Below are 23,050 nucleotides of genomic sequence, written 5' to 3' on the forward strand. Positions count from 1 at the left end.
TTTTTTTAAGTCAGGGTCTTGCTTTGTTGCTGCCGAGACCAGCTGGGTCAGAGAGACCCTAACCCAGCGGCGCTAGAGGAATTAAAGACACACATACAGAAATATAGAGGTGTGAAGTGGGAAATCAGGGGTCTCACAGCCTTCAGAGCTGAGATCCCTGAACAGAGATTTACCCACATATTTATTAACAGCAAGCCAGTCATTAGCATTGTTTCTACAGATATTAAATTAACTAAAAGTATCCTTTGTGGGAAACGAAGAGATGGGCAATTAAAGGAATAGGTTGGGCTAGTTAACTGCAGCAGGAGCATGTCCTTAAGGCACAGATCGTTCATGCTATTGTTTATGGCTTAAGAATGCCTTTAAGCAGTTTTCCACCCTGGGCAGGCCACGTGTTCCTTGCCCTCATTCTGGTAAACTGACAGCCTTCCAGCGTGGGCGTTATGTTCATCATGAACATGTCACAGTGCTGCAGAGATTTTGTTTATGGCCAGTTTTGGGGCCGGTTTATGGCCAGATTTTGCGGGGCTTGTTCCCAACAGTTGCCTGGCTTGGAGTGCAGTGGTGTGATCATGGCTCACTGCAGCCTCAAACCCCTGGGCTCAAGCCATCCTCCCACCTCAGCCTACTGAGGAGCTAGCTGGGACCACAAACACAGGCCTCTGTGCCCAGATGATTTTTGTAGAGACAGGGTTTTTCCATGTTACCCAGGCTGGTCTCAAACTCCTGGACTCAAGTGTTCCACCTGCCTCAGCCTCCCTAAGTGCTGTGACTACAGGTGTGAGCCACCACATCTAGCACACCTAGTGCAGTCCTTCTAGAGACTGGGCCACTCCCAGCCCCGGAGCAACCTTACTTAAGCCCTCCCCGATCAGATAGGCAGCCTGACAAGTTGCATTTCCTGGGGAAGAGCAGCAAGAACCCTGCTCTGGGAGTCAGGAGTTCCCGATTCTAGCCCAGAGCTGCTTTCCTTACTAGTTATTGATCTTGCCCAACTCACTTCCTGTCTCTGGCTCTGTTTCCCAATCTGTAAAATTGTTACTGGAAAGGGGTCCCAATCTAGACCCAAAGAAAGGTGAGGAGAGCAAAAATCACCCCCCCCAAGACAAAAAGTTCTTATCTGAGCAATTTAGATAAGGAGCAATCCGCCAGGCGCAGTGGCTCACACCTGTAATCCCAGCACTTTGGGAGGCCGAGGCGGGTGGATCACGAGGTTAGGAGATCGAGACCATCCTGGCTAACATGGTGAAACCTCGTCTCTACTAAAAATACAAAAAATTAGCTGGGCGTGGTGGCGGGGCACCTGTAGTCCCAGCTACTCGGGAGGCTGAGGCAGGAGAATGGCATGAACCCGGGAGGCGGAGCTTGCAGTGAGCAGAGATCGAACCACTGCACTCCAGCCTGGGTGATAGAGCAAGACTCCGTCTCAAAAAAAAAAAAAAAAAGGAGCAATCCAAGGAGCAAAGACCACCTGTTGACCATCAAACAGGCCATCTGGAGGCGAAACTCCTTGCCTGGGGAATTTAGAAGTAATAAAGGCCAGGCATGGTGAATCACACACACTTTGTGAGCACTTTGGGAGCCAAGGCAGGTGGATCACTTGAGGTCAACAGTTAGAGACCAGCCTGGCCAACATGATGAAACACCCTCCCTGCAAAAATTAGCCGGGCATGATGGTGCATGCCTGTAATCCCAGCTACTCAGGAGACTAAGACAGGAGAATTGGTTGAACCAGCAGGCAGAGGTTGCAGTGAGCTGAGATCAGGCCACTGCACTCCAGCTTGGGCGACAGAGGGAGACTCTGTCTCAAAAGAAAAAACAAACAAAAAAAACTTCCCTAGTATTTAAAGTCGGCATCTGATTCCAAGCCTCTTTCAACTTTTATAAGTAACTAAAATGTCTATACATTCTTTTTAAAAAAAAAAAAAAATTCAACAAACACTTATTTCTCACACTTCTGGAGGCTAGGAAGTCCAAGATCAAGGTGCTTATAGATTCAGTGTCTGGTGGGGGCTCACTTCCTGCTTTATGAGCTATGCCTTCTCACTGTGGTTTCACATGGTAGAAAGGGGTAGGGCTTTCTCTCTGGCCTCCCTTACAAAGGCACCAACCCCATTCCTGAGGGCTCTGCCCTCACAACGTAAAATTTCTGTACATTCTATGCCATGCTGAAGCTCATTTTACAACCCTAAGCTCTCACCTTAAGGTCCATACATGCTCCTAAGGAAAATCCACCACAGCGCACTCAGTCCTCCCGTGGAGGCACCTGCTGCACTCTGCTGCAGTGTTCTTCCTTTCTAATAAACTTTCCTTTTCCAAACCTATACTGTTGTCAGTAAGTTCTTTCTTTTTTGAGACCCCTCCCCCCACCCCAAGACATGCCAGTAGTCCCAGCTAGTTGGGATGCTGAGACAGGAGATGGCACCACTGCACTCCAGCCTGGGCAACAGAGCGAGACTCATCTCAAAAAAAAAAAAAAAAGGATCAAACAGTACTAAAGACCCTATTATAAAAGTCTTTCACTCACAGTGTCCCTGAATCTCCCCCTCCCTCCCACAACCACTGTTTACAGAGCCTTAAATAAACAGATGATAATGTGTTACCTTGCTCAGTCCCTGGCCTGGAGTGCTGTGGTGCCATCTGGACTCACTGCAGCCTTGACCTCCCAGACTCAAGCGAGCCTACCCTCTCAACCTCCTCAGTAGCTGGGACCACAGGCACATGCCATCATGCTGGGCTAATCTTTGTATTTTTTGTAGAGAAGGAGGGGTTTTGCCTTGTTGCCCAGGCTGGTCTTGGACTCCTAGATTCAAGTGATCTGCCTGCCTCAACCTCTTAGGATCAGGGGCCACTGCAATGGGCTAGACATTTTTTTTTTTGAGTCAGGGTCTTACTCTGTTGCCTGGCCTGGAGTGCAGTGGTGTGGTCATGGCTCACTGCAGCCTCAAACCCCTGGGTTCAAGCCGTCCTCCTGTCTCAGCCTCCTGAGGAGCTAGCTGGGACCACAAACACAGGCCACTGTGCCCAGATGATTTTTGTAGAGACAGGGTTTCTCCATGTTACCCAGGCTGGTCTCGAACTCCTGGACTTAAGCGCTCCACCTGCCTCGGCCTCCCTAAGTGCTGTGACTACGGGTGTGAGCCACCACATCTAGCACACCTAGTGCAGTCCTTCTGGAGAGTGGGCCACTCCCAGCCCCGGAGCAGCCTTACTCAAGCCCTCCCTGATCAGATAGGCAGCCTGACAAGTTGCACTGCCTGGGGAAGAGCAGCAAGAACCCTGCTCTGGAAGTTAAGAGTTCCCGGTTCTAGCCCAGAGCTGCTTTCCTTACTAGTTATTGATCTTGCCGAAGTCATTTCCTGTCTCTGGCTCTGTTTCCCAATCTGTAAAATTGTTACTGGAAAGGGGTCCCAATCTAGACCCTAAGAAAGGTGAGAGAGCGAACGGGCCCCGGAGACAAAAAGTTCTTATCTGAGCAATTTAGATAAGGAGCAATCTAAGGAGCAAAGACCACATGTTGACCATCAAACAGGCCATCTGGAGGCAAAACTTGTCTGGAGAATTTAGAAGTAATCCCAGCACTTTGGAAGGCTGAGGTAGATGGATCACTTAAGGTCAAGAGTTCGAGGGAGCGGCAGCGGCGGCCAGGCACGGCGCGAGGCGACGCCACAGGACAGCGGCGGCAGCAGGAAATGCAGCGGCGGCCGCAGCAGCAGCAAAACGGATCGGTGGAGAGGCGCCGCCGCCGCCGGGCCGGGCGTCGCGCGCCGAGGCTCGGGGGGAGTCGTCGCAGCCGCCGCCACCGCTACCGCAGCCGCCGCCGCCGCCGCCGCCCAGGTGACTGAGGAGAGAGGCACCTCCTCGCTCCCGCCGCCGCCGGACTTCAATGCCCAGTCCCCAGCTCGCCAGCGTTTTTCGTTGGAATATACGTTGCACATTTATGGCGATTCTGAATGTGAGAGCAGATTTCTGCCAGGCTGAGCACAGCGTTTTCGCTGACAAGTGAGCTTGGAGGTTCTATGTGCCATAATTAACATTGCCTTGAAGACTTCTGGACACCGAGACTGGCCTCAGAAATAGTTGGCTATTTATTTATTTATTTATTTATTTATTTATTTATTTATTTATTTATTTTGAGACGGCGTCTCGCTCTGTCGCCCAGGCTGGAGTGCAGTGGCGCGATCTCAGCTCACTGCAACCTCCGCTTCCTGGGTTCACGCCATTCTCCTGCCTCAGCCTCCTGAGCAGCTGGGACCACAGGCGCCCGCCACTACGCCCGGCTAATTTTTTGTATTTTTAGTAGAGACGGGGTTTCACCATGTTAGCCAAGATGGTCTCGATCTCCTGACCTCGTGATCCACCCGCCCTGGCCTCCCAAAGTGCTGGGATTACAGGCGTGAGCCACCGCACCCCGGCAGCTTTTTTTTTTTTTTTTTTTTTTTTTTTGAGAGAGAGTTTCCCTCTGTCGCCCAGGCTAGAGTGCAATGGCGCAATCTCGGCTCACTGCAAGCTCTGCCTCCCGGGTTCAGGCCATTCTCCTGCTTCAGCCTCCTGAGCAGCTGGGACTACAGACGCCCGTCACTGCGCCCGGCTAATTTTTTGTGTTTTTAGTAGAGACGGGGTTTCACCGTGTTAGCCAGGATGGTCTCGATTTCCTGACCTCGTGATCCGCCCGCCTCGGCCTCCCAAAGTGCTGGGATTACAGGCGTGAGCCACCGCGTCCGGCCAGCTTTTTTTTTTTAATTGCAAGCATATTTCTTTGAATGACTCCAGTAAAATTAAGCATCAAGTAAACAAGTGGAAAGTGACCTACACTTTTAACTTGTCTCACTAGTGCCTAAATGTAGTAAAGGCTGCTTCAGTTTTGTATGTAGTTGGGTTTTTTGGAGTCCGAAGGTATCCATCTGCAGAAATTGAGGCCCAAATTGAATTTGGATTCAAGTGGATTCTAAATACTTTGCTTATCTTGAAGAGAGAAGCTTCATAAGGAATAAACAAGTTGAATAGAGAAAACACTGATTGATAATAGGCATTTTCATGGTCTTTTTAATGTTTTCTGTTGTTAAACATTTCAAGATTTATTGATTTTTTTTTTCACTTTCCCCATCACACTCACAGGCACGCTCACACTTTTTATTTGCCGTAATGAACCGTCTAGCCCCTGTGGAGATCTCCTATGAGAACATGTGTTTTCTGATAACTCACAACCCTACCAATGCTACTCTCAACAAGTTCACAGAGGAACTTAAGAAGTATGGAGTGACGACTTCGGTTTGAGTTTGTGATGCTACATATGATAAAGCTCCAGTTGAAAAAGAAGGAATCCACGTTCTAGATTGGCCATTTGATGATGGAGCTCCATCCCCTAATCAGATAGTAGATGATTGGTTAAACCTGTTAAACACCAAATTTCGTGAAGAGCCAGGTTGCTGTGTTGCAGTGCATTGCGTTGTGGAATTGGGAAGGGCACCTGTGCTGGTTGCACTTGCTTTGATTGAATGTGGAATGAAGTACGTAGATGCAGTTCAGTTTATAAGACAAAAAAGAAGGGGAGTGTTAAATTCCAAACAGCTGCTTTACTTAAGATGCGATTACGCTTCAGAGATACCAATGGGCATTGCTGTGTTCAGCAGAAAGAAATGTAAATGAAGGCTGACTTGATTGTGGCATTTAGAGGGAACTCCTGGTACCTGGAAATGTGAATCTGGACTCTTACCTGTGTCATCAAAGTAGTGATGGATTCAATACTCCTCAACCACTCTCCTAATGATCAGAACAAAAGCAAACAAGAAATCTCTCTATAAAATGAATAAAATGTTTAAGAAAAAAAAAGAGTTCGAGACCAGCCTGGACAACATGGTGAAATCCCATCCCTACAAAGGTTAACTGGGCTTGGTGGCACGTGCCTGTAATCCCAGCTACTCAGGAGACTGAGACAGGAGAATGGCTTGAACCTGGGTGGCTGAGGTTCCCGTGAGCTGAGATTAAAAAAAAAAATCATACTTCCCTAGTATCTAAAGTTGATATCTGATTCCAGGCCTCTTTCAACTTTTTTTGTTTGTTTGTTTGTTTTTTTGATATGGAGTCTCGCTCTGTCATCCAGGCTGGAATGCAAATGGCACGATCTTGGCTCACTGCAACTTCCACCTCCAGCGTTCAAGCGATTCTCCTGCCTCAGCTTCCCAAGTAGCTGGGACTACAGGCGTGTGCCACCAAGCCTGGCTAACTTTTTTTCTTTTTTTTTTTTTTGAGAGGGAGTCTTGCTCTGTCCCCCAGGCTGGAGTGCAGTGGTGTGATCTTGGCTCACTGCAACCTCCGCCTCTCCGGTTCACGCCATTCTCCTGCCTTAGCCTCCCGAGTAGCTGGGAGTACAGGCGCTCGCCAACACGCCCGGCTAATTTTTTGTATTTTTAGTAGAGATGGAGTTTCACCGTGTTAGCCAGGAGGGTCTTGATCTCCTGACCTCGTATCCGCCCGTCTTGGCCTCCCAAAGTGCTGGGATTACAGGCGTGAGCCACCGCGCCCAGCACCTGGCTAACTTTTGTATTTTTAGTACAGACGGGGTTTCACTGTATGTTGGCCAGGCTGGTCTCAAACCCCTGACTTGAGGTGATCTGCAAGCCTCAGCCTCCCAGAGTGCTGGGATTACAGGCGTAAGCCACCGCTCCTGGCCTAAGGTTGGCTATTTTTATGGTTATTTCTTGATTATATGATAAACAAGGGGTGGGTTAGTAATGAATTTTTCAGAAAAGGGGTGGGGATCCCCCCCAACTGAAGGTTCCTCCACTGTTTAGACCATATAGGGTAACTTCTGGACGTTGCCATGGCATTTGTAAACTGCCTGGCGCTGCTAGGAGTGTCTTTAGCATACTAATGCATTATAATTAGCGTATAATGAGCAGTGAGGACGATCAGAGGTCACCTTCCTGTCTTGGTTTTGGCAGGTTTTGACCAGTTTCTTTGCTGCATTCTGTTTTATCAGCGGGGTCTTGTGACCTTTTATCTTGTGCTGACCTCCTGTCTCATCCTGTGACGAAGGCCTAACCTCCTGGGAATTCAGCCCAGCAGGTCTCTGCCTCATTTTACCCAGCCCCTGTTCAAGATGGAGTCGCTCTGGTTGGAAACTTCTGACAAAATGACAGCTCCTGTTATGTTGCTGCTGCTGCCGCCAATGGACAGCCTTTAACGTGCCCGCCAGCCCTGCTCCACCGCCGGCCTGGGCTCACATGGCCCCATCCCTCCTCGAACCTCCTAGCCTGTTAGTTACTCAAATCTGCAAGCTCTCTGCCTTCTCAGGGCCTTCAATAAATGCATTTCTTCTGTCTGGAAGGCTCTTCCTTTCCCTCTTCTAGCCAATTCCTATTCATCCCTGAGTTTCAGATTAAAAGTCACTTCCTTTGGAAACCTTACTTCGCTACTTCGCTACTTACTGCACTACTTCGCAGCATCACAACTATGATGGAAATCCTTACTTACGTTAAATATCTGGTTTCTAGGTCACCTCCCTGACGGGGACGGTAGGGACCGTCTTCTCGTTCATCAGTAGGGAAGTAGCTATGGCAGTGCCTGATACAAAATAAACTCCAAATGTGTATTTATTAGATGGTTGGATGGAAGTTATTTGCGTGTGAAAGCGCGTTTTACCCGAAGGCGCTCTGTGAGGGCCAGCGGGTCCCCTTCGGCCCTGGAGCCGGGGTCACACGCTCCCCACCGCGTGCGGTCACGAGACGCCCCCAAGGGAGTATCCTGGTACCCGGAAGCCGCGACTCCTGGCCCTGAGCCCGGGCTTAGCCTTCGGGTCCACGTGGCCGGAGGCCGGCAGCTGATTGGACGCGGGCCGCCCCACCCCCTGGCCGTCGCGGGACCCGCAGGACTGAGACCATGGAGGCGGTGGCGGTGGCCGCGGCGGTGGGGGTCCTTCTCCTGGCCGGGGCCGGGGGCGCGGCAGGCGACGAGGCCCGGGAGGCGGCGGCCGTGCGGGCGCTCGTGGCCCGGCTGCTGGGGCCAGGCCCCGCGGCCGACTTCTCCGTGTCGGTGGAGCGCGCTCTGGCTGCCAAGCCGGGCTTGGACACCTACAGCCTGGGCGGCGGCGGCGCGGCGCGCGTGCGGGTGCGCGGCTCCACGGGCGTGGCGGCCGCCGCGGGGCTGCACCGCTACCTGCGCGACTTCTGTGGCTGCCACGTGGCCTGGTCCGGCTCTCAGCTGCGCCTGCCGCGGCCACTGCCAGCCGTGCCGGGGGAGCTGACCGAGGCCACGCCCAACAGGTACCGCCCCGAAGCTTCCCCGCGTCCGCCCGAGGCGCTTACCCCCTCCCGGAGCCGCTGCCACCCAAATCGGGAGGCTGAGCGGGGAGCGCTGGCCGGAAGGCCCAGCTGCGCCGCCTCCAGCAGCTGTGTGGCCTTGAGCCAGCCACTCTGCCTTTCAGAGCCTCGGCTGGCCCACCTGAAAAACGGAAAGAAGACGCCTACCGTGCAGTGTTATTGTGAGGATTTGCACGATGATGGGCATAGAATTTGTGGTGCACAATTGGTGATGAGTGAATTTTCTTGCCTTCCTCCCCCACCTTCTCTTTGAACCTGCGGACTGAGGAAGGACGCCTCCATCCCCCACCCTACAGGCCTGTGTTCCAGCGCCTGCCACACTATGGAGTGATGTGTTCACACAGCTGTCCTCCCCTGCCCATCTGTTAGACTGTGGGGGCAGGGATTCCCCGTTCCAGGAAAACACCGTGCAGAGGAGGGGCTCTGGCAGTGTGGCATGAAAGTGGAATATGCCACCCAAATACCCGCCAGGCTAGAGGGCCCTGGGAGAGTGCAGGGGACGAGTGCCTCAGAAGCCCAGCCCCGGTACCTGGTCTCAGCTCCACCTGGGGTGGGTCCCAGTGTGCAGCAGAAGGGCCGAGTTTGGAGCCCCTCCCCTCTCCTCTAGGTGGGGGATGGGGGATTTGTTCCAGGGCCGTGGACCCTCCAGGGTGGGATGCGCCCCTGCTCATGACACTGCCCGCAGGTACCGCTATTACCAGAATGTGTGCACGCAAAGCTACTCTTTCGTGTGGTGGGACTGGGCCCGCTGGGAGCGAGAGATAGACTGGATGGCGCTGAATGGCATCAACCTGGCACTGGCCTGGAGCGGCCAGGAGGCCATCTGGCAGCGGGTGCGTGCCCACTGTCCCTTCCCCACCCTCCTCTATGGCGGGAGCCACCGTAGGTGTTTTCACCCGCCCCCCAGCATGGGCGCAGTGTCTCTCTCTAGAAGTGCTTTCAGCGTGCACAGTGGCTTGGGCCTCCTAAAAACTGAGGCTTCCGGCCGGGCGCGGTGGCTCACGCCTGTCATCCCAGCACTTCGGGAGGCCTAGGCGGGCGGATCAGGAGTTCAGGAGATCGAGACCATCCTGGCCAACATTGTGAAACCCCGTCTCTACTAAAATACAAAGAAATAGCAACCTGGGCAACAGAGCGAGACTCTGTCTAAAAAAAAAAAAAAAAAAAACTGAGGCTTCCAGTTTGAGGAGTGGGGCTCCTTCCCCCATCTCCCCTATGCAGCCAATCACCTGGTCCCTTGGATCCAACTCATGGGCAGCTCTAGATCTGCCTCCCTGGAAGCTTCTGTGCTGCAATGGCTGCTCCAGGCTCTGCTTAAGCTCTTCACACAGTTGCCCTGCCCTTCCATCTGGCACTCTTGCTCCATGAAGCCTTCTAAGGCCTTCCTGTTGGGGGAAAGCCCCTTTGTGCCCCATCTCCTCACCCATGCGACAAAGGCAACACAGTGAACTCACCTACTCACAGGTCTCTTTCCTCTGGGCTGTGGGCTCCTTGATGGCAGCGTTCGGATTTTGTCTCAGTAGCCCTAGCACCCAGCACAAAGAAGCAATGAGTGAATGGTTGTTGAATGAATGAATGAATGAATGAAGATGAATATATTTCTATGTGTGGGCCCTTCTTCCTCAGGTGTACCTGGCCTTGGGCCTGACCCAGGCAGAGATCAATGAGTTCTTTACTGGTCCTGCCTTCCTGGCCTGGGGGCGAATGGGCAACCTGCACACCTGGGATGGCCCCCTGCCCCCCTCCTGGCACATCAAGCAGCTTTACCTGCAGGTAAAAGGATGGAAAAGGGAAGGGGCAGAATCGGTGATAGATGGTCATGGGCCCAGGAAGGGTGGTATTAGGCCGGCCCCAGGGCTCTTAACTGAGGCGGGGGGCTGCGTGTATCCTGGGAGATGAGGGCCTTCTCATAGGACAGCAGTGGCCATGCTCACCACCCTTCCTTCTGTTCCTCCAGCACCGGGTCCTGGACCAGATGCGCTCCTTCGGCATGACCCCAGTGCTGCCTGCATTCGCGGGGCATGTTCCCGAGGCTGTCACCAGGTGAGGTTCCGCTCACCCCCTCCACTTAGCTCAGAGAGGGAATTTTATTCCCTTCTAGAACATGACTTAAAAACTTAAGCTCTGGGCCGGGCGCAGTGGCTCACGCCTGTAATCCCAGCACTTTGGGAGGCCGAGTTGGGCGGATCACCTGAGGTCAGGAGTTCGAGACCAGCCTGGCCAACATGGTGAAACCCTGTCTCTACTAAAAATATAAAAATTAGCTGGGCATGGTGGCACGCGCCTGTAATCCCATCTACTTAGGAGGCTGAGACAGGAGAATTGCTTAAACCTGGGAGGCAGACGTTGCAGTGAGTCAAGATCACGCCATTGCACTCCAGCCTGGGTGACGAGCGAAACTCTGTCTCAAACAAACAAACAAGCTCTGGACGTAGGCCTGGGTTTGATTTCTGACTCTGCTACTAATTAGCTGTGTGACTTCGGGCAGATGACATGACTGCTCTGTGCCTCAGTTTCCTTACTTGTAAAATGGGATCTCTACCCACTTCGCTGTAGGGTTTGTAATTATCTCTCGATCTATCTGTGACTTTGCACAGAGTGCTAGCAAATGGCAGCCCTTGGGAGTGGCAGCAGGGGTGCTCCAGTGTCCCTTGTCCCTCCTGTTCCTCTGTGCTTCCCAGCCATCCTCTCACATGTGGTTGGGAAAAGTCTTCAAGGCTCACCTGAGACCTCCCCTCCTTCAGGAAGCCTTGCTAGTGCCCCGCATGACCTCCTTTGCACCTGCTAATGTCTGGCTCCCATACTCTCGTAGGACTTAATGCATGCCAGTGGCCTCCCTGCCCGCCTCTTTGCCCCCATCACCAGGTGGCAGGAAACTCACTCATTCATTCAATAAACTTGGTCCAGCTGTCTGAGGCTGCCAGAACTGGCTGTGCTGGGTCCTGGGAGGCGGCAAGAAAGGTGCCCAAGGGCTTACCCCTGATAGGAGAGATATGTTGGCTGAAGGATACAATGTGGGGACAAGGACAGGAATATATGTGGGTTCCGCTCTCCTCTGCCGGGAGAGAGGGGCAGGAAGGGCTCAGGGCAGAGCCCAGCCTTGAAAAATGAGTGTTGCTTGGACGGACGCTTGGCTAATGCTTGTAATCCTAGCGTTTTGGGAGGCTGAGGCGTATGGATCACCTGCGGTCAGGAGTTAAAGACCAGCCTGGCCAACATGGCGAAACCCCATCTCTACTAAAAGTACAAAAATTAGCCAGGCGTGGTGGCGGGCTCCTGTAATCCCAGCTACTCGGTAGGCTGAGGCATGAGAATCTCTTGAAGCCAGGGGCCAGAGACTGCAGTGAGCCGAGATCACACCACTTCACTCCAGCCTGGGTGACAGAGTGAGACTCCGTCTCAAAAAAAAAAAAAAAAAAAGGAAAGAAAATTAAACACCTCATGTTCTCACTCATAGTGGGAGTTGAACAATGAGAACAACATGGACACAGGAAGGGGAACATCACACACCGGGGCCTTTCGCGGTGTGGGGGTCAAGGGGAGGAGTAGCATTGGGACAGATACTTAATGCATGCGGGGCTGAAAACCTAGATGATGGGTTGATGGGTGCAGCAAACCACCATGGCACATGTATACCTATGCAACAAACCTGCATGTTCTGCACAGAACTGAACTGAAAGTATAATTAAAAAAAAAAAAAAAAGCTGGGTGCGGTGGCCCACACCTGTAATCCCAGCACTTTGGGAGGCCGAGACGGGCGGATCACAAGGTCAGCAGATCGAGACCATCCTGGCTAACACAGTGAAACTCAGTCTCTACTAAAAATACAAAAAATTAGCCGGGTGTGGTGGCGGGCACCTGTAGTCCCAGCTACTAGGGAGGCTGAGGCAGGAGAATGGCATGAACCTGGGAGGCAGAGCTTGCAGTGAGCTGAGAATGCGCCACTGCACTCCAGCCTGGGGGACAGAGTGAGACTCTGCCTCAAAAAAAAAAAAAAAAAGAAAGAAAAAGGAGCGTTGCTTGTTTCAGGCCACAGGAAGGGGAGAGATAGTGAAAGTTTTTCAGAGAAGGTGGCCAGGGAAGGAGAAGAAAGGACTGTAGGCAGAGAGCATAGCCTGTACAAAGCCATAGAGGCAAGAGAAACCAGGAGCTGTAGAGAAGTTGGCAAGGCTGTTGAACACTATGGTGAACACTATGGCGGCTTCCATGAAATATCTGAGCTTTTGCTCCCCACTAGGGTGTTCCCTCAGGTCAATGTCACGAAGATGGGCAGTTGGGGCCACTTTAACTGTTCCTACTCCTGCTCCTTCCTTCTGGCTCCGGAAGACCCCATATTCCCCATCATCGGGAGCCTCTTCCTGCGAGAGCTGATCAAAGAGTTTGGCACAGACCACATCTATGGGGCCGACACTTTCAATGAGATGCAGCCACCTTCCTCAGAGCCCTCCTACCTTGCCGCAGCCACCACTGCCGTCTATGAGGCCATGACTGCAGGTACAGTGCCTGGGTGGGGTGGGAGAGCCCCCCAGACCCTCAAAAAGAAGGGAGTAGCAGATGTCAGTAGGGGTAGGCAGAGGGACTGGAATAATGCCTCGCCATAACACACAGTACTTCATAGTTTACCAAGCACGTGTACACATGCGTTGTCTCAGTGAATCCCACTGTGGTTGAGAGGTGAGCTCTGGAAGCCAACAACCTGGGTCACACCTCGCGCTCCTATTTCCTGGCCGTGTGACTTATGACTCATGACCTCCTTCCCAGTGTCTCGTTTGCTTTTCCTGTAAACTGGGACTACCTCATAGGTAGAATAACGCCTGGCCCAGAGCAAAGGCCACTAAGAGCTAGCTATGAACAAGGATTTTGTTTCATCTCTGCGTGGTTGCTGAAGTAGGCACTGCAGGCAGGAGGTGAGTGGATGTGCCTAAAGGCACTAAGTGCGCATCCTGCTACAAAACTGTGAAGCCAGGGCTCCTTCCTGCCACTTAAAGGAGGAGTGGAGCAGAGGGCGCCCAAGTCAGGAATGACTTAGTGGAGAGGCGTCTGTGTTGGCCAGGAAGGGAACAGATCAGCTCAGCCTTTCTTGAGCAGTACTGCTCCAAGTGTGACCCAAAACCAGCAGCAGCAGCAGCAGCAGCCCGAGCTGTGAGATGGCAAATTCTCAGGCCCTACCCAAGACCTGAAGGAGAAGCTACATTTTTTTTTTTTTTGAGACAGATTTCACTCTGTTGCTGAGGCTGGAGCACAGTGGCACAATCTCATCTCACTGCAACCTTCGTCTCCTAGGTTCAAGCGATTCTCCTGCCTCAGCCTCCCGAGTAGCTGGGACTATAGGCACCCGCCACCACGCCCGGCAATTTTTGTTTGTTTTGAGATAGAGTCTCGCTCTGTCACCCAGGCTGGAGTGCAGTGGCACGATCTCAGTTCACTGCAACCTCTGCTTCCTGAGTTCAAGCGATTCTCCTGCCTCAGCCTCCTGAGTAGCTGGGATTACAGGCGCCCCCCAACCACACTCGGCTAATTTTTGTATTTTTAGTAGAGACGGGGTTTCGCTATGTAGGTCAAGCTGGTTTCAAACTCCTGACCTCAAATGATTCGCCCACTTCAGCCTCCCAAAGTGCTGGGATTACAGGTGTGAGCCACCTTGCCTGGCCAATTTTTGTATTTTTAGTAGAAACAGGTTTCACCATGGTGGCCAGACTGGTCTCAAACTCCTGACCTCAGGTGAACTGCCCACCTCAGCCTCCCAAAGTACTGGTATTACAGGCGTGATCCACTGCGACTGGCCTTGATTTTGTTTTTGAGACAGAATCTTACTCTGTCGCCCAGACTGGAGTGCAGTGGCACAATCTCAGCTCACTGCAACTTCTGCCTCATGGGTTCAAGTGATTCTTGTGCCTCTACCTCCCGAGTAGCCGGGATTACAGGCACCTGCCATTACGCTAGGCTAATTTTTGTATTTTTAGTATAGACAGGGTTTCCCCACATTGGCCAGGCTGGTCTGGAACTCCTGGGCTCAAGTGATCCACCTGCTTCAGCCCCTCAGAGTACTGGGATTATAGGTGTGGGCCACCACGCCCATTCAGAAACCTCCATGTTTTAAGGAGCCCTCTGGGTAACTCTCATGTTCACCCAAGCTGCTGAACCCTGTCCTGGAGTTTTCAGAGGGACGCGTATGTGCCACAGAGCGTCCCGCTGGTGGGGGTCATGGGAAGCCATGACCTGGGATAGACAGTCGTCTGTAGAGTGGGGTGAACATTCCCTGGGCCCTCTGTTTCATCACTCCTCTTCTCTGTTCCCCCTACCTCCTGTCCACAGTGGATACTGAGGCTGTGTGGCTGCTCCAAGGCTGGCTCTTCCAGCACCAGCCGCAGTTCTGGGGGCCCGCCCAGATCAGGGCTGTGCTGGGAGCTGTGCCCCGTGGCCGCCTCCTGGTTCTGGACCTGTTTGCTGAGAGCCAGCCTGTGTATACCCGCACTGCCTCCTTCCAGGGCCAGCCCTTCATCTGGTGCATGCTGCACAACTTTGGGGGAAACCATGGTCTTTTTGGAGCCCTAGAGGCTGTGAACGGAGGCCCAGAAGCTGCCCGCCTCTTCCCCAACTCCACCATGGTAGGCACGGGCATGGCCCCCGAGGGCATCAGCCAGAACGAAGTGGTCTATTCCCTCATGGCTGAGCTGGGCTGGCGAAAGGACCCAGTGCCAGATTTGGCAGCCTGGGTGACCAGCTTTGCCGCCCGGCGGTATGGGGTCTCCCACCCGGACGCAGGGGCAGCGTGGAGGCTACTGCTCCGGAGTGTGTACAACTGCTCCGGGGAGGCCTGCAGGGGCCACAATCGTAGCCCGCTGGTCAGGCGGCCGTCCCTACAGATGAATACCAGCATCTGGTACAACCGATCTGATGTGTTTGAGGCCTGGCGGCTGCTGCTCACATCTGCTCCCTCCCTGGCCACCAGCCCCGCCTTCCGCTACGACCTGCTGGACCTCACTCGGCAGGCAGTGCAGGAGCTGGTCAGCTTGTACTATGAGGAGGCAAGAAGCGCCTACCTGAGCAAGGAGCTGGCCTCCCTGTTGAGGGCTGGAGGCGTCCTGGCCTATGAGCTGCTGCCGGCACTGGACGAGGTGCTGGCTAGTGACAGCCGCTTCTTGCTGGGCAGCTGGCTAGAGCAGGCCCGAGCAGCGGCAGTCAGTGAGGCCGAGGCCGATTTCTACGAGCAGAACAGCCGCTACCAGCTGACCTTGTGGGGGCCAGAAGGCAACATCCTGGACTATGCCAACAAGCAGCTGGCGGGGTTGGTGGCCAACTACTACACCCCTCGCTGGCGGCTTTTCCTGGAGGCGCTGGTTGACAGTGTGGCCCAGGGCATCCCTTTCCAACAGCACCAGTTTGACAAAAATGTCTTCCAACTGGAGCAGGCCTTCGTTCTCAGCAAGCAGAGGTACCCCAGCCAGCCGCGAGGAGACACTGTGGACCTGGCCAAGAAGATCTTCCTCAAATATTACCCCCGCTGGGTGGCCGGCTCTTGGTGATAGATTCGCCACCACTGGGCCTTGTTTTCCGCTAATTCCAGGGCAGATTCCAGGGCCCAGAGCTGGACAGACATCACAGGATAACCCAGGCCTGGGAGGAGGCCCCACGGCCTGCTGGTGGGGTCTGACCTGGGGGGATTGGAGGGAAATGACCTGCCCTCCACCACCACCCAAAGTGTGGGATTAAAGTACTGTTTTCTTTCCACTTAAACTGATGAGTCCCCTGGGTCTGTCAAAATGAGAAGGTCACTGCTGCCACGCTTGGGAGGACTCAGGGCTATAGCATGGCCCTGGGGTGGGACCTGTTCTCCCATCCCTTGCCTCACGTCCCTGTTTTTGTTTGTTTGTTTGTTTGTGACGGAGCCTTGGTCTGTTGCCCAGGCTTGAGTACAATGGCACAGTCTCGGCTCACTGCAACCTCCGCCTCCTGGGTTCAAGCAATTCTTGTGCCTCAGCCTCCCCGGTAGCTGGGACTATAGGCATGCACCACCACGCCAGGCTAATTTTTTTTTTTCCAAGATGGAGTCTTGCTCTGTCGCCCAGGTTGGAGTTTAGTGGCACCATATTGGTTTACTGCAACCTCTGCCTCCCGGGTTCAAGCAATTCTCCTGCCTCAGTCTACCAGGGAGTTAGGACTACGGGCCTGTGCCATCACGCCCGGCTAATTTTTGTATTTTTCATAGAGATAAGGTTTCACCATGTTGGCCAGGCTGGTCTTTAACTCCTGAACTCAAGTGATCCACCTGCCTCGGCCTTCCAAAGTGCTGGGATTACAGGAGTGAGCCACCGTGCCCGGCCACGTCTCTCTTTTTAACACTAATGTTACCCTGACCTTTGAACGTAGAATGCCCTTCTGTTGCAGGAAAACCTCTTTTCAAACCATGTTTGTCCTTTGCTGGCATGCCACAGCAACAGTCACCAACACAGAAGACTTCTGTGACCAAATATTTGGAGGATTTTCCCCACACACACCAAGCAGCAGACATCAGCTGGGTGTCCTCCAATTCAGTTCCAATGTAATCAACCAGAGACAGCATCAGATCCCACAGGGTTAGGGTGCAGATCCATGAGACCACCCCCTCCTTCCCAACGGTTACAAGTCCTGATCCCTGGAACTTCTGACTAACTGGCTTCAAGTTGGAGTTCCCATGACCCCCTTCCCCTCTTTGGAGTCAACTCATTTGCGACAGTGACCCACGAAACACAGGGAAACCCTTATTATGTTTATTGCTTTATTACAGAGGAAAAAAATTTTTTTCTTTCTTTTTTGAGACAGGGTCTCACTCTGTCATCCAGAATGACTGCAGTGGCAGGATCTGGCTCCGTCACCCAGGCTGGAGTGCAGTGGCATGATCTCGGCTCACTACAGCCTCCATCCCCCCAAACCCCACGCCTCAGCGCCCCACCCCGCAAGTGGCTGGGACTCTAAGCATACACCACCACACCCAGCTAATTTTTTTGTAGTTTTTGCAAAGACGGGGTCTCATTCTGTTGCCCTGGCTGGTCTTGAACTCCTGAGCTCCAGCAATCCCCTTGCCTTGGCCTCCCAAAGTGCTGGGATTACAGGCATCAGCCACCGTGCCCAACCTCAAAGGATATTTTAAAGGATAGAAATAAACAGCCATATGAAGAGATACAGACAGGGCGGTCTGGAAGGGCCCAGAGCAGGAGCTTCTATCTCCATAGAGTTGGGGTTACATCACCCTCCAGGCACATGGATGAGTTCTTCACCTTCTGTCAGCCTCCACACGTTCAGCTCTCAGAAGCTTCCCGAACCCTGTCCTTTGGGCCTTTTATGGAGAACTCCATTGGCTGTCCATGACTGAAGCATGGACAACTGTGATAATGTGATTGGGCAAAAAGGGTCTGATCTAAGCCCAGCAAGGCCAGTCCAGATTCTTTGGGCCTTTGTGCAGCATTCCTTTCTCCAGGGTATGGGGCAAGGACCCACTCTGGAATGAGGATCCTACAACCCACAATCAGATTAGAATCCTGCCTTGGGCAGCTGAAAAGAGGACAGGAGAAGGTCAAAGAGAGGAAAGGCTGTTTTTTGAGGCCTGAGGCGCCCCAACATGACAACGAAAGACTGTAACCATGGTCATGTGAGTTATGAGCTAGGAACCCTGGACGAAACCAACACATATACAATCATCTCCCACCTCCCAACACCTTTACTTTCACAGCCTCTGCAGCAAACTGCGGTCACTATAATCGCTCCTGTGGCACAGAGGCATACCCAGGGGAATCTGCCCAGGGGGCCACTCTGTGCCCACGTGGGAACCCACATCTGCTTGTAAAGCCTCCCCTCCCTCTGACCAGAAACGAGGACAGTTTGTTGTTCCAAGCAGTGGGCTCATGTCTGTTTTGGCTCAGAACAGGGTGGGGAGAGCGGGCCAGGGACCCGCAGGAGGGCTTATCCTTGAGATTGCGTGGGAGACACAACAAGGGGTGGGGGCCCGCAGGCGGGGCGGGGCGAAGCAGGTGATATCCAGCCCAGAGCCCCAGCCTCTCCCCACAGTCTCACCATGGCCTGCACCGTGGTGCTCATCACCGGCTGTTCCTCAGGTATTGGCCTGCACTTGGCAATACATCTGGCTTTGGACCCATCCCAGAGCTTCAAAGGTATAGATAGGTAGGGACAGGGAGGGAGAGAAGGGAAAAGCCCTTGGAGGCCAGAAGAGAAGTCAGATCTTCCTCCTCTCCCAAAACCTCCAGTGTATGCCACGTTGAGGGACCTGAAAACACAGGGCCGGCTGTGGGAGGCGGCCCGGGCCCTGGCATGCCCTCAGGGATCCCTGGAGAGGTTGCAGCTGGATGTAAGGAACTCAAGCTCCCTGGCCGCTGCCCGGGAACGCGTGACCGAGGGCCGTGTGGATGTGCTGGGTGAGCCTCCTGGAAGCATATGGGCTCCTAGGAGCCTTCTCCGCCCTGCGTTGAAACCAACATGTCCCCAGGCCCCTGGAGCATGAGGGGACAGGCCGTGCTGAGGGTGATGCTGAGGCGGGCTGGTTGGGCCTCTGTCCCCGCAGTGTGTGACACAGGCCTGGGCCTGCTGGGGCCGCTGGGGGAGGACGCTGTGGCCTCTGTACTGGATGTGAATGTAGTAGGTACTGTGCGGGTGCTGCAGGACTTCCTGCCAGACATGAAGCGGCCGGGTTCGGGACGCGTGTTGGTGACTGGGAGCATGGGAGGATTGATGGGTGAGTGGCAGGGACCGGGCCCGGAGCTCCAGATTCTTTGTGTGCAGAGCTGAGCCTTGAAGGCAGGCTCCTTAGGGGGTGGGGTGCAATCAGCTTGGAGGGGCACTGCCTGCCGGGGGATGACCCCCTGGCCGCTGCGCCTCAGGAACCTCATCTTCCCACCCAAGGGCTGCCTTTCAATGACGTTTATTGCGCCAGCAAGTTCGCGCTCGAAGGCTTATGCGAGAGTCTGGCGGTTCTGCTGCTGCCCTTTGGGGTCCAGTGAGTCAACACCCCCGTCTCCTCAACCCTCTTAACTCTGACCTAGAGATGCCGAGCACCCTGTCCTGCGGAAGCCGCTCTGGTCTCTGCCCGGCTTACATTTGCTGCGTGCCAGGCACTTAGGCTGGAGCATTGGCACGCATTGTGCCACTTGCTGACCTGGCTGCTGAAGTGTTGGTATTGTTATGGGGAAGCTCCAGCCAAGAGAGGTTAGGTGACTGGCCCAAGGTCATGCAGCGGCCGGGGATCCCGCCAGGTTCGAATTCTGACACCAGGGCTACCTGGCAGCCTCAGATGGGTTTGGGAGGGCTGTCGAGCAATAACCCGCTATTCAAATGTTCTGGTTATCCCCAGCGCTCTTTCCACCTTCGGGACGCAGCGGTGCTGTTCTGGGTCGTGGCCAGGGCCGGGGTCGGGGCCGGTGCTGGGGCAGGAGATGGGACTTGGCGCCTGGGTCGCCTCCGTCCCTGCCCACTTGCGGCTCTCGGGCCAGCAGCGTGAGCCTGATCGAGTGCGGCCCTGTGGACACCGCCTTCATGCAGAAGGTGTTGGGCGGTCCCGACCAGGTGATGGACCGCACGAACACCCGGACCTTCCGCCTCTTGCACTAATACCTCCACCACAGCAAGGAGATCTACCGCGAGGAGGCGCAGCACCCTGAGGAGGTGGTGAAGGTGAGCGGGGGGCGGGACTCCGGGAGCGGGGGCGGTGCGTCGTCCTGCGCGCAGCCCGGGCCAGAGCTCCTCTCCCGCCGCCGCAGGTCTTCCTCACCGCTATGCGCGCCCCGAAGCCGACCCTGCGCTACTTCACAACCAGGCGCTTCCTGCACCAGCTGCTGATGCGCCTGGACGACCCCTTTGGCTTCGACTACGCCGCCGCCATGCACCGGGACGTGTTCGCCGACGATCCCGCAGAGGCCGAGGCTGGGGCCGGGGCTGGGGCCGAGGCCGGGGGCGGGGCCGGTGGGATGGGAGACCCTGAGCTCAGCGATCCTCTGGCCGCCCCGCAAGAAAGGCTCCGTCAGCCACTGTCTCCCGCGCCCTCCTTTGTCTCCTGGGCCTGTGCGGTCCCTGGGGATGGGACGGCGGTGACGGCTGTGGATGGCTAATTAAGACAGATCACGTTAGCCCGTTATATCTGCGCGGCTAGGCGCGATGGCTGTCGCCTATAATCCCAGAGCTTTGGAAGGCCGAGGCAGGAGGATCGCTCCAGGCCAGGAGTTCCAGACCAGCCTGAGCAACATAGTGAGACACCCCATCTCTAAAATAAAAAAATTAGCACAGTGGCACCATTCCTTGAGCTCAGGAGTTGGAGGCTGCAGTGGGCATGATCGAGCTACTGCTCTCCAGCTTGGGCGATAGAGTGAGACACTGTCAATTAATTAATCTAATCAACCAACCAACCCAACAACCCAGAAACCAAGGTCCAGAAAGAAGCCAGCCCAGGATCATGCCTCAAGTCCACAGTAAAGCCCAGACACAGTCACTGGATACCCAAGGGGCATCTGCAGGACGAGTTAGGTGGGACTTGGGTTGGGGTAGAGTCAGGTTGTGACCTGCACTCCATTAGCCATGAGACCTCAGGCAAGTTCCTTGCTTTCTCTGAGTGCTTTCCTTTCCTTTCCCTTTTCTTTTCTTTTTTGTTTTTCTTTTGTTTTGAGACGGAGTTTCACTCTTGTTGCCCAGCCTGGAGTGCAATAGCGCGGTCTCAGTTCACCACAACCTCTGCCTCCCGGGTTCAAGTGTAGCTAGGATTGCAGGCATGTGCCACCACGCCCAGCTAATTTTGTATTTTTAGTAGAGACGAGGTTTCTCCATGTTGGTCAGACTGGTCTTGGACTCCCGACCTCAGGTGATCCGCCCGCCCTGGCCTCTCAGAGTGCTGGGATTACAGGCATGACCCACCCCATCCGGCCCTCTGAGTCTTTCTTATCTGTAAAATGGGTATAATAATACCTATCTAATCGGTTTTAGTAATGGTGGAGATAATGCCTGAAAGTGCTAGTATAGAGGTTTAATACCCAGCAAGGACTGTTATTAGAATGAATAGTAATATGACTACTGTCACATTTTGCAAATGTGTAAAGAAGAAAGAGGGCTAAGTGAATCAAAGGGAGACAGCCCCACTCACCCTGTTCTGCCCCAGAGGACTGAGCGATCCCCACCATCTGGGAAGCTGCCTCACCAGGAGGTCCAGCTGGGGCTACAGGACTGGCTACTTTGCTACAATGGCCCATCTTTCCTGAGCCCAGTGGAGGGTCCCAGGGGGGCAGAAGTCATTGATAGGGGCCAGTAGGGTTGTAGAGCCACTGTCTGAACTTCTGTGGAGGTCTGGTGCAGGGGAGGTGTGAACAGATAGGAGGCTAGGTGAGGATGCAGCAGAGGAAGGGGGCAGGAGTGCCCCAGGAGGGGGCGGTACCGAGGCAGGGATTCAGCTGGGTCTGAGAGGGAGGGAAGGCTGAGGGGGATGGCCCTTTGGAGTGGGCAGGGACATGACCACAGAAAGCCTGGGAAGTGGAAACAGACAGGAGCCTGCTGGAGCTCTTGGAGCTTTGTGTGGGGCACTAGGGGAAGGAGGCAGGCACTCCACCCTGACCTGCCCCTACCTCTGGATGAGGGTCTTCTCTGCCTGTTGGATGATGTGCTGCCCCTGCTCTTGGAGGAAGAGGCCTCCCAGCCACCCCCTCCTGCCAGTCGCCTTGCCCTGCTGACCCAGACAGATCTGCTATCCCTACAGCATCCAGGAAGGCCACAGGGAGGGGGCCCAGGTGGCATGGGTTTCTGAGGCCTGGGATCTGCTCTCAGTCCCGCTCTCGCCAACCCCCTTTGCCCCTCTGTGACAGTGTGTGTACATATGCGTGCATGTGTGTACCTGTGTGGTGTGGCTCACAAGGTCACCCCTGGGGGTGGGATAATAAGAGGTAAAGTGTGACCCCCTCTCTTCCGTACATTCATTTTTTCAAGCTTGTGAATATTCACATTGTTAATATAATCTTCTGCAGTCCCATGACTTCGAATAGCACTTAGATGCCGATGACCCCCCCACCAAAGAAACCCCACTGTCTCCCACAGACTCCAGGTCTGTATCTCCAACTGCCTACTCAATACAACACGTCCACCTGATACAATGAACTTAATGTGTCTAAACCCCAATTCCACATTTCCAGTCCTCCTACCGGCTCCTCCCCCAGTCTTCTCTACTTTACTATATGACAACTCCATTTTTCCCAATACTGGTTTTAAAAACCCTGGAGTAGTCCTTGACTCCAGTCTCTCTCACCTTTCAACCAATTCAGCAGCAAATACTGACAGCTCTACCTTTGCTCATCAAAGCATATCCCCAAATCACCCTATTCCAGACTGCACACTGTCATCTCTCCCTTCAATTACAGCAGTAGCCTCCTAACTAGTTTTCTTGATTCCACTCCTGCCCATCAGCAGTGAAATTACCCCAGAGCAGTTAAAATGATCTTTTAGGATGGGCACAGTGGCTCACGCCTGTAATACCAGCACTTTGGGAGGTGGAGGCTGGCTGATCCCCTTAGGTTGGGAGTTCAAGACCATCCTCACCAACAGGGAGAAACCCCATCTCTACTAAAAATACAAAAATTAGCCGGATGTGGTGGGACGTGTCTGTAATCCCAACTACTTGGGAGGCTGAGACAGGAGAACTGCTTGAACCCGGGAGGTGGAGGTTGCAGTGAGCCAGAATCGTGCCACAGCACTCCAGCCTGGGCAAGAAG

At 54.0% G+C, this 23,050-nt stretch overlaps 1 protein-coding gene and 2 pseudogenes across 5 annotated transcripts, besides 9 other annotated features; all 3 read left to right on the forward strand.

Moving 5' to 3' along the window:
- Positions 3,739–3,888: a silencer, noted in NCBI's record as "silent region_8532". NCBI's record gives its function as "represses an Ori minimal core promoter by ATAC-STARR-seq in GM12878 lymphoblastoid cells {active_cell/tissue: GM12878}" and the evidence as "EXISTENCE:reporter gene assay evidence [ECO:0000049][PMID:35858748]".
- Positions 4,249–4,298: an enhancer, noted in NCBI's record as "active region_12202". NCBI's record gives its function as "activates an Ori minimal core promoter by ATAC-STARR-seq in GM12878 lymphoblastoid cells {active_cell/tissue: GM12878}" and the evidence as "EXISTENCE:reporter gene assay evidence [ECO:0000049][PMID:35858748]".
- PTP4A2P1 (PTP4A2 pseudogene 1) lies at positions 4,729–5,835 on the forward strand (annotated as a pseudogene).
- Positions 7,563–7,642: an enhancer, noted in NCBI's record as "active region_12203". NCBI's record gives its function as "activates an Ori minimal core promoter by ATAC-STARR-seq in GM12878 lymphoblastoid cells {active_cell/tissue: GM12878}" and the evidence as "EXISTENCE:reporter gene assay evidence [ECO:0000049][PMID:35858748]".
- Positions 7,753–8,162: a silencer, noted in NCBI's record as "silent region_8533". NCBI's record gives its function as "represses an Ori minimal core promoter by ATAC-STARR-seq in GM12878 lymphoblastoid cells {active_cell/tissue: GM12878}" and the evidence as "EXISTENCE:reporter gene assay evidence [ECO:0000049][PMID:35858748]".
- Positions 7,850–16,058, forward strand: NAGLU (N-acetyl-alpha-glucosaminidase). 5 transcript variants are annotated; one of them, XM_024450771.2, is made up of 7 exons: positions 7,850–8,264; positions 8,426–8,482; positions 9,007–9,154; positions 9,948–10,094; positions 10,279–10,364; positions 12,559–12,815; positions 14,637–16,058. In XM_024450771.2, the coding sequence occupies exons 1-7, from the start codon at positions 7,882–7,884 to the stop codon at positions 15,845–15,847; spliced, it is 2,289 nt and encodes a 762-aa protein (XP_024306539.1). In that variant the 5' UTR covers positions 7,850–7,881; the 3' UTR covers positions 15,848–16,058. The 5 variants fall into 5 exon arrangements, with proteins under 5 accessions (XP_024306539.1, NP_000254.2, XP_047292094.1 ...); NM_000263.4 differs by lacking the exon at positions 8,426–8,482; XM_047436138.1 differs by lacking the exons at positions 8,426–8,482; positions 9,007–9,154.
- Positions 8,156–8,893: an enhancer, noted in NCBI's record as "H3K27ac-H3K4me1 hESC enhancer chr17:40688565-40689302 (GRCh37/hg19 assembly coordinates)". NCBI's record gives its function as "activates a minimal SCP1, AML or CMV promoter by ChIP-STARR-seq in naive H9 embryonic stem cells {active_cell/tissue: H9 hESC(naive)}" and the evidence as "EXISTENCE:reporter gene assay evidence [ECO:0000049][PMID:30033119]".
- Positions 8,283–8,352: a silencer, noted in NCBI's record as "silent region_8534". NCBI's record gives its function as "represses an Ori minimal core promoter by ATAC-STARR-seq in GM12878 lymphoblastoid cells {active_cell/tissue: GM12878}" and the evidence as "EXISTENCE:reporter gene assay evidence [ECO:0000049][PMID:35858748]".
- On the forward strand, positions 18,362–20,584 carry HSD17B1P1 (hydroxysteroid 17-beta dehydrogenase 1 pseudogene 1; annotated as a pseudogene).
- Positions 19,875–20,124: a silencer, noted in NCBI's record as "silent region_8535". NCBI's record gives its function as "represses an Ori minimal core promoter by ATAC-STARR-seq in GM12878 lymphoblastoid cells {active_cell/tissue: GM12878}" and the evidence as "EXISTENCE:reporter gene assay evidence [ECO:0000049][PMID:35858748]".
- Positions 20,515–20,594: an enhancer, noted in NCBI's record as "active region_12204". NCBI's record gives its function as "activates an Ori minimal core promoter by ATAC-STARR-seq in GM12878 lymphoblastoid cells {active_cell/tissue: GM12878}" and the evidence as "EXISTENCE:reporter gene assay evidence [ECO:0000049][PMID:35858748]".
- Positions 20,625–20,684: an enhancer, noted in NCBI's record as "active region_12205". NCBI's record gives its function as "activates an Ori minimal core promoter by ATAC-STARR-seq in GM12878 lymphoblastoid cells {active_cell/tissue: GM12878}" and the evidence as "EXISTENCE:reporter gene assay evidence [ECO:0000049][PMID:35858748]".

The sequence above is a fragment of the Homo sapiens genome, chromosome 17 (genome assembly GCF_000001405.40).
Source record: "Homo sapiens chromosome 17, GRCh38.p14 Primary Assembly".
NCBI lineage: Eukaryota > Metazoa > Chordata > Mammalia > Primates > Hominidae > Homo > Homo sapiens.

What these genes read in the sequence shown, in the direction of transcription:
- NAGLU (XM_024450771.2), top strand. Translation starts at nt 7,882, where the DNA reads ATGGAGGCGGTGGCGGTGGCCGCGGCGGTGGGGGTCCTTCTCCTGGCC. An exon ending in AGGAGGCCATCTGGCAGCGG is followed by an intron (nt 9,155 to 9,947) that starts GTGCGTGCCCAC and finishes CTTCTTCCTCAG; the next exon opens with GTGTACCTGGCCTTGGGCCT. An exon ending in TCAAGCAGCTTTACCTGCAG is followed by an intron (nt 10,095 to 10,278) that starts GTAAAAGGATGG and finishes CTGTTCCTCCAG; the next exon opens with CACCGGGTCCTGGACCAGAT.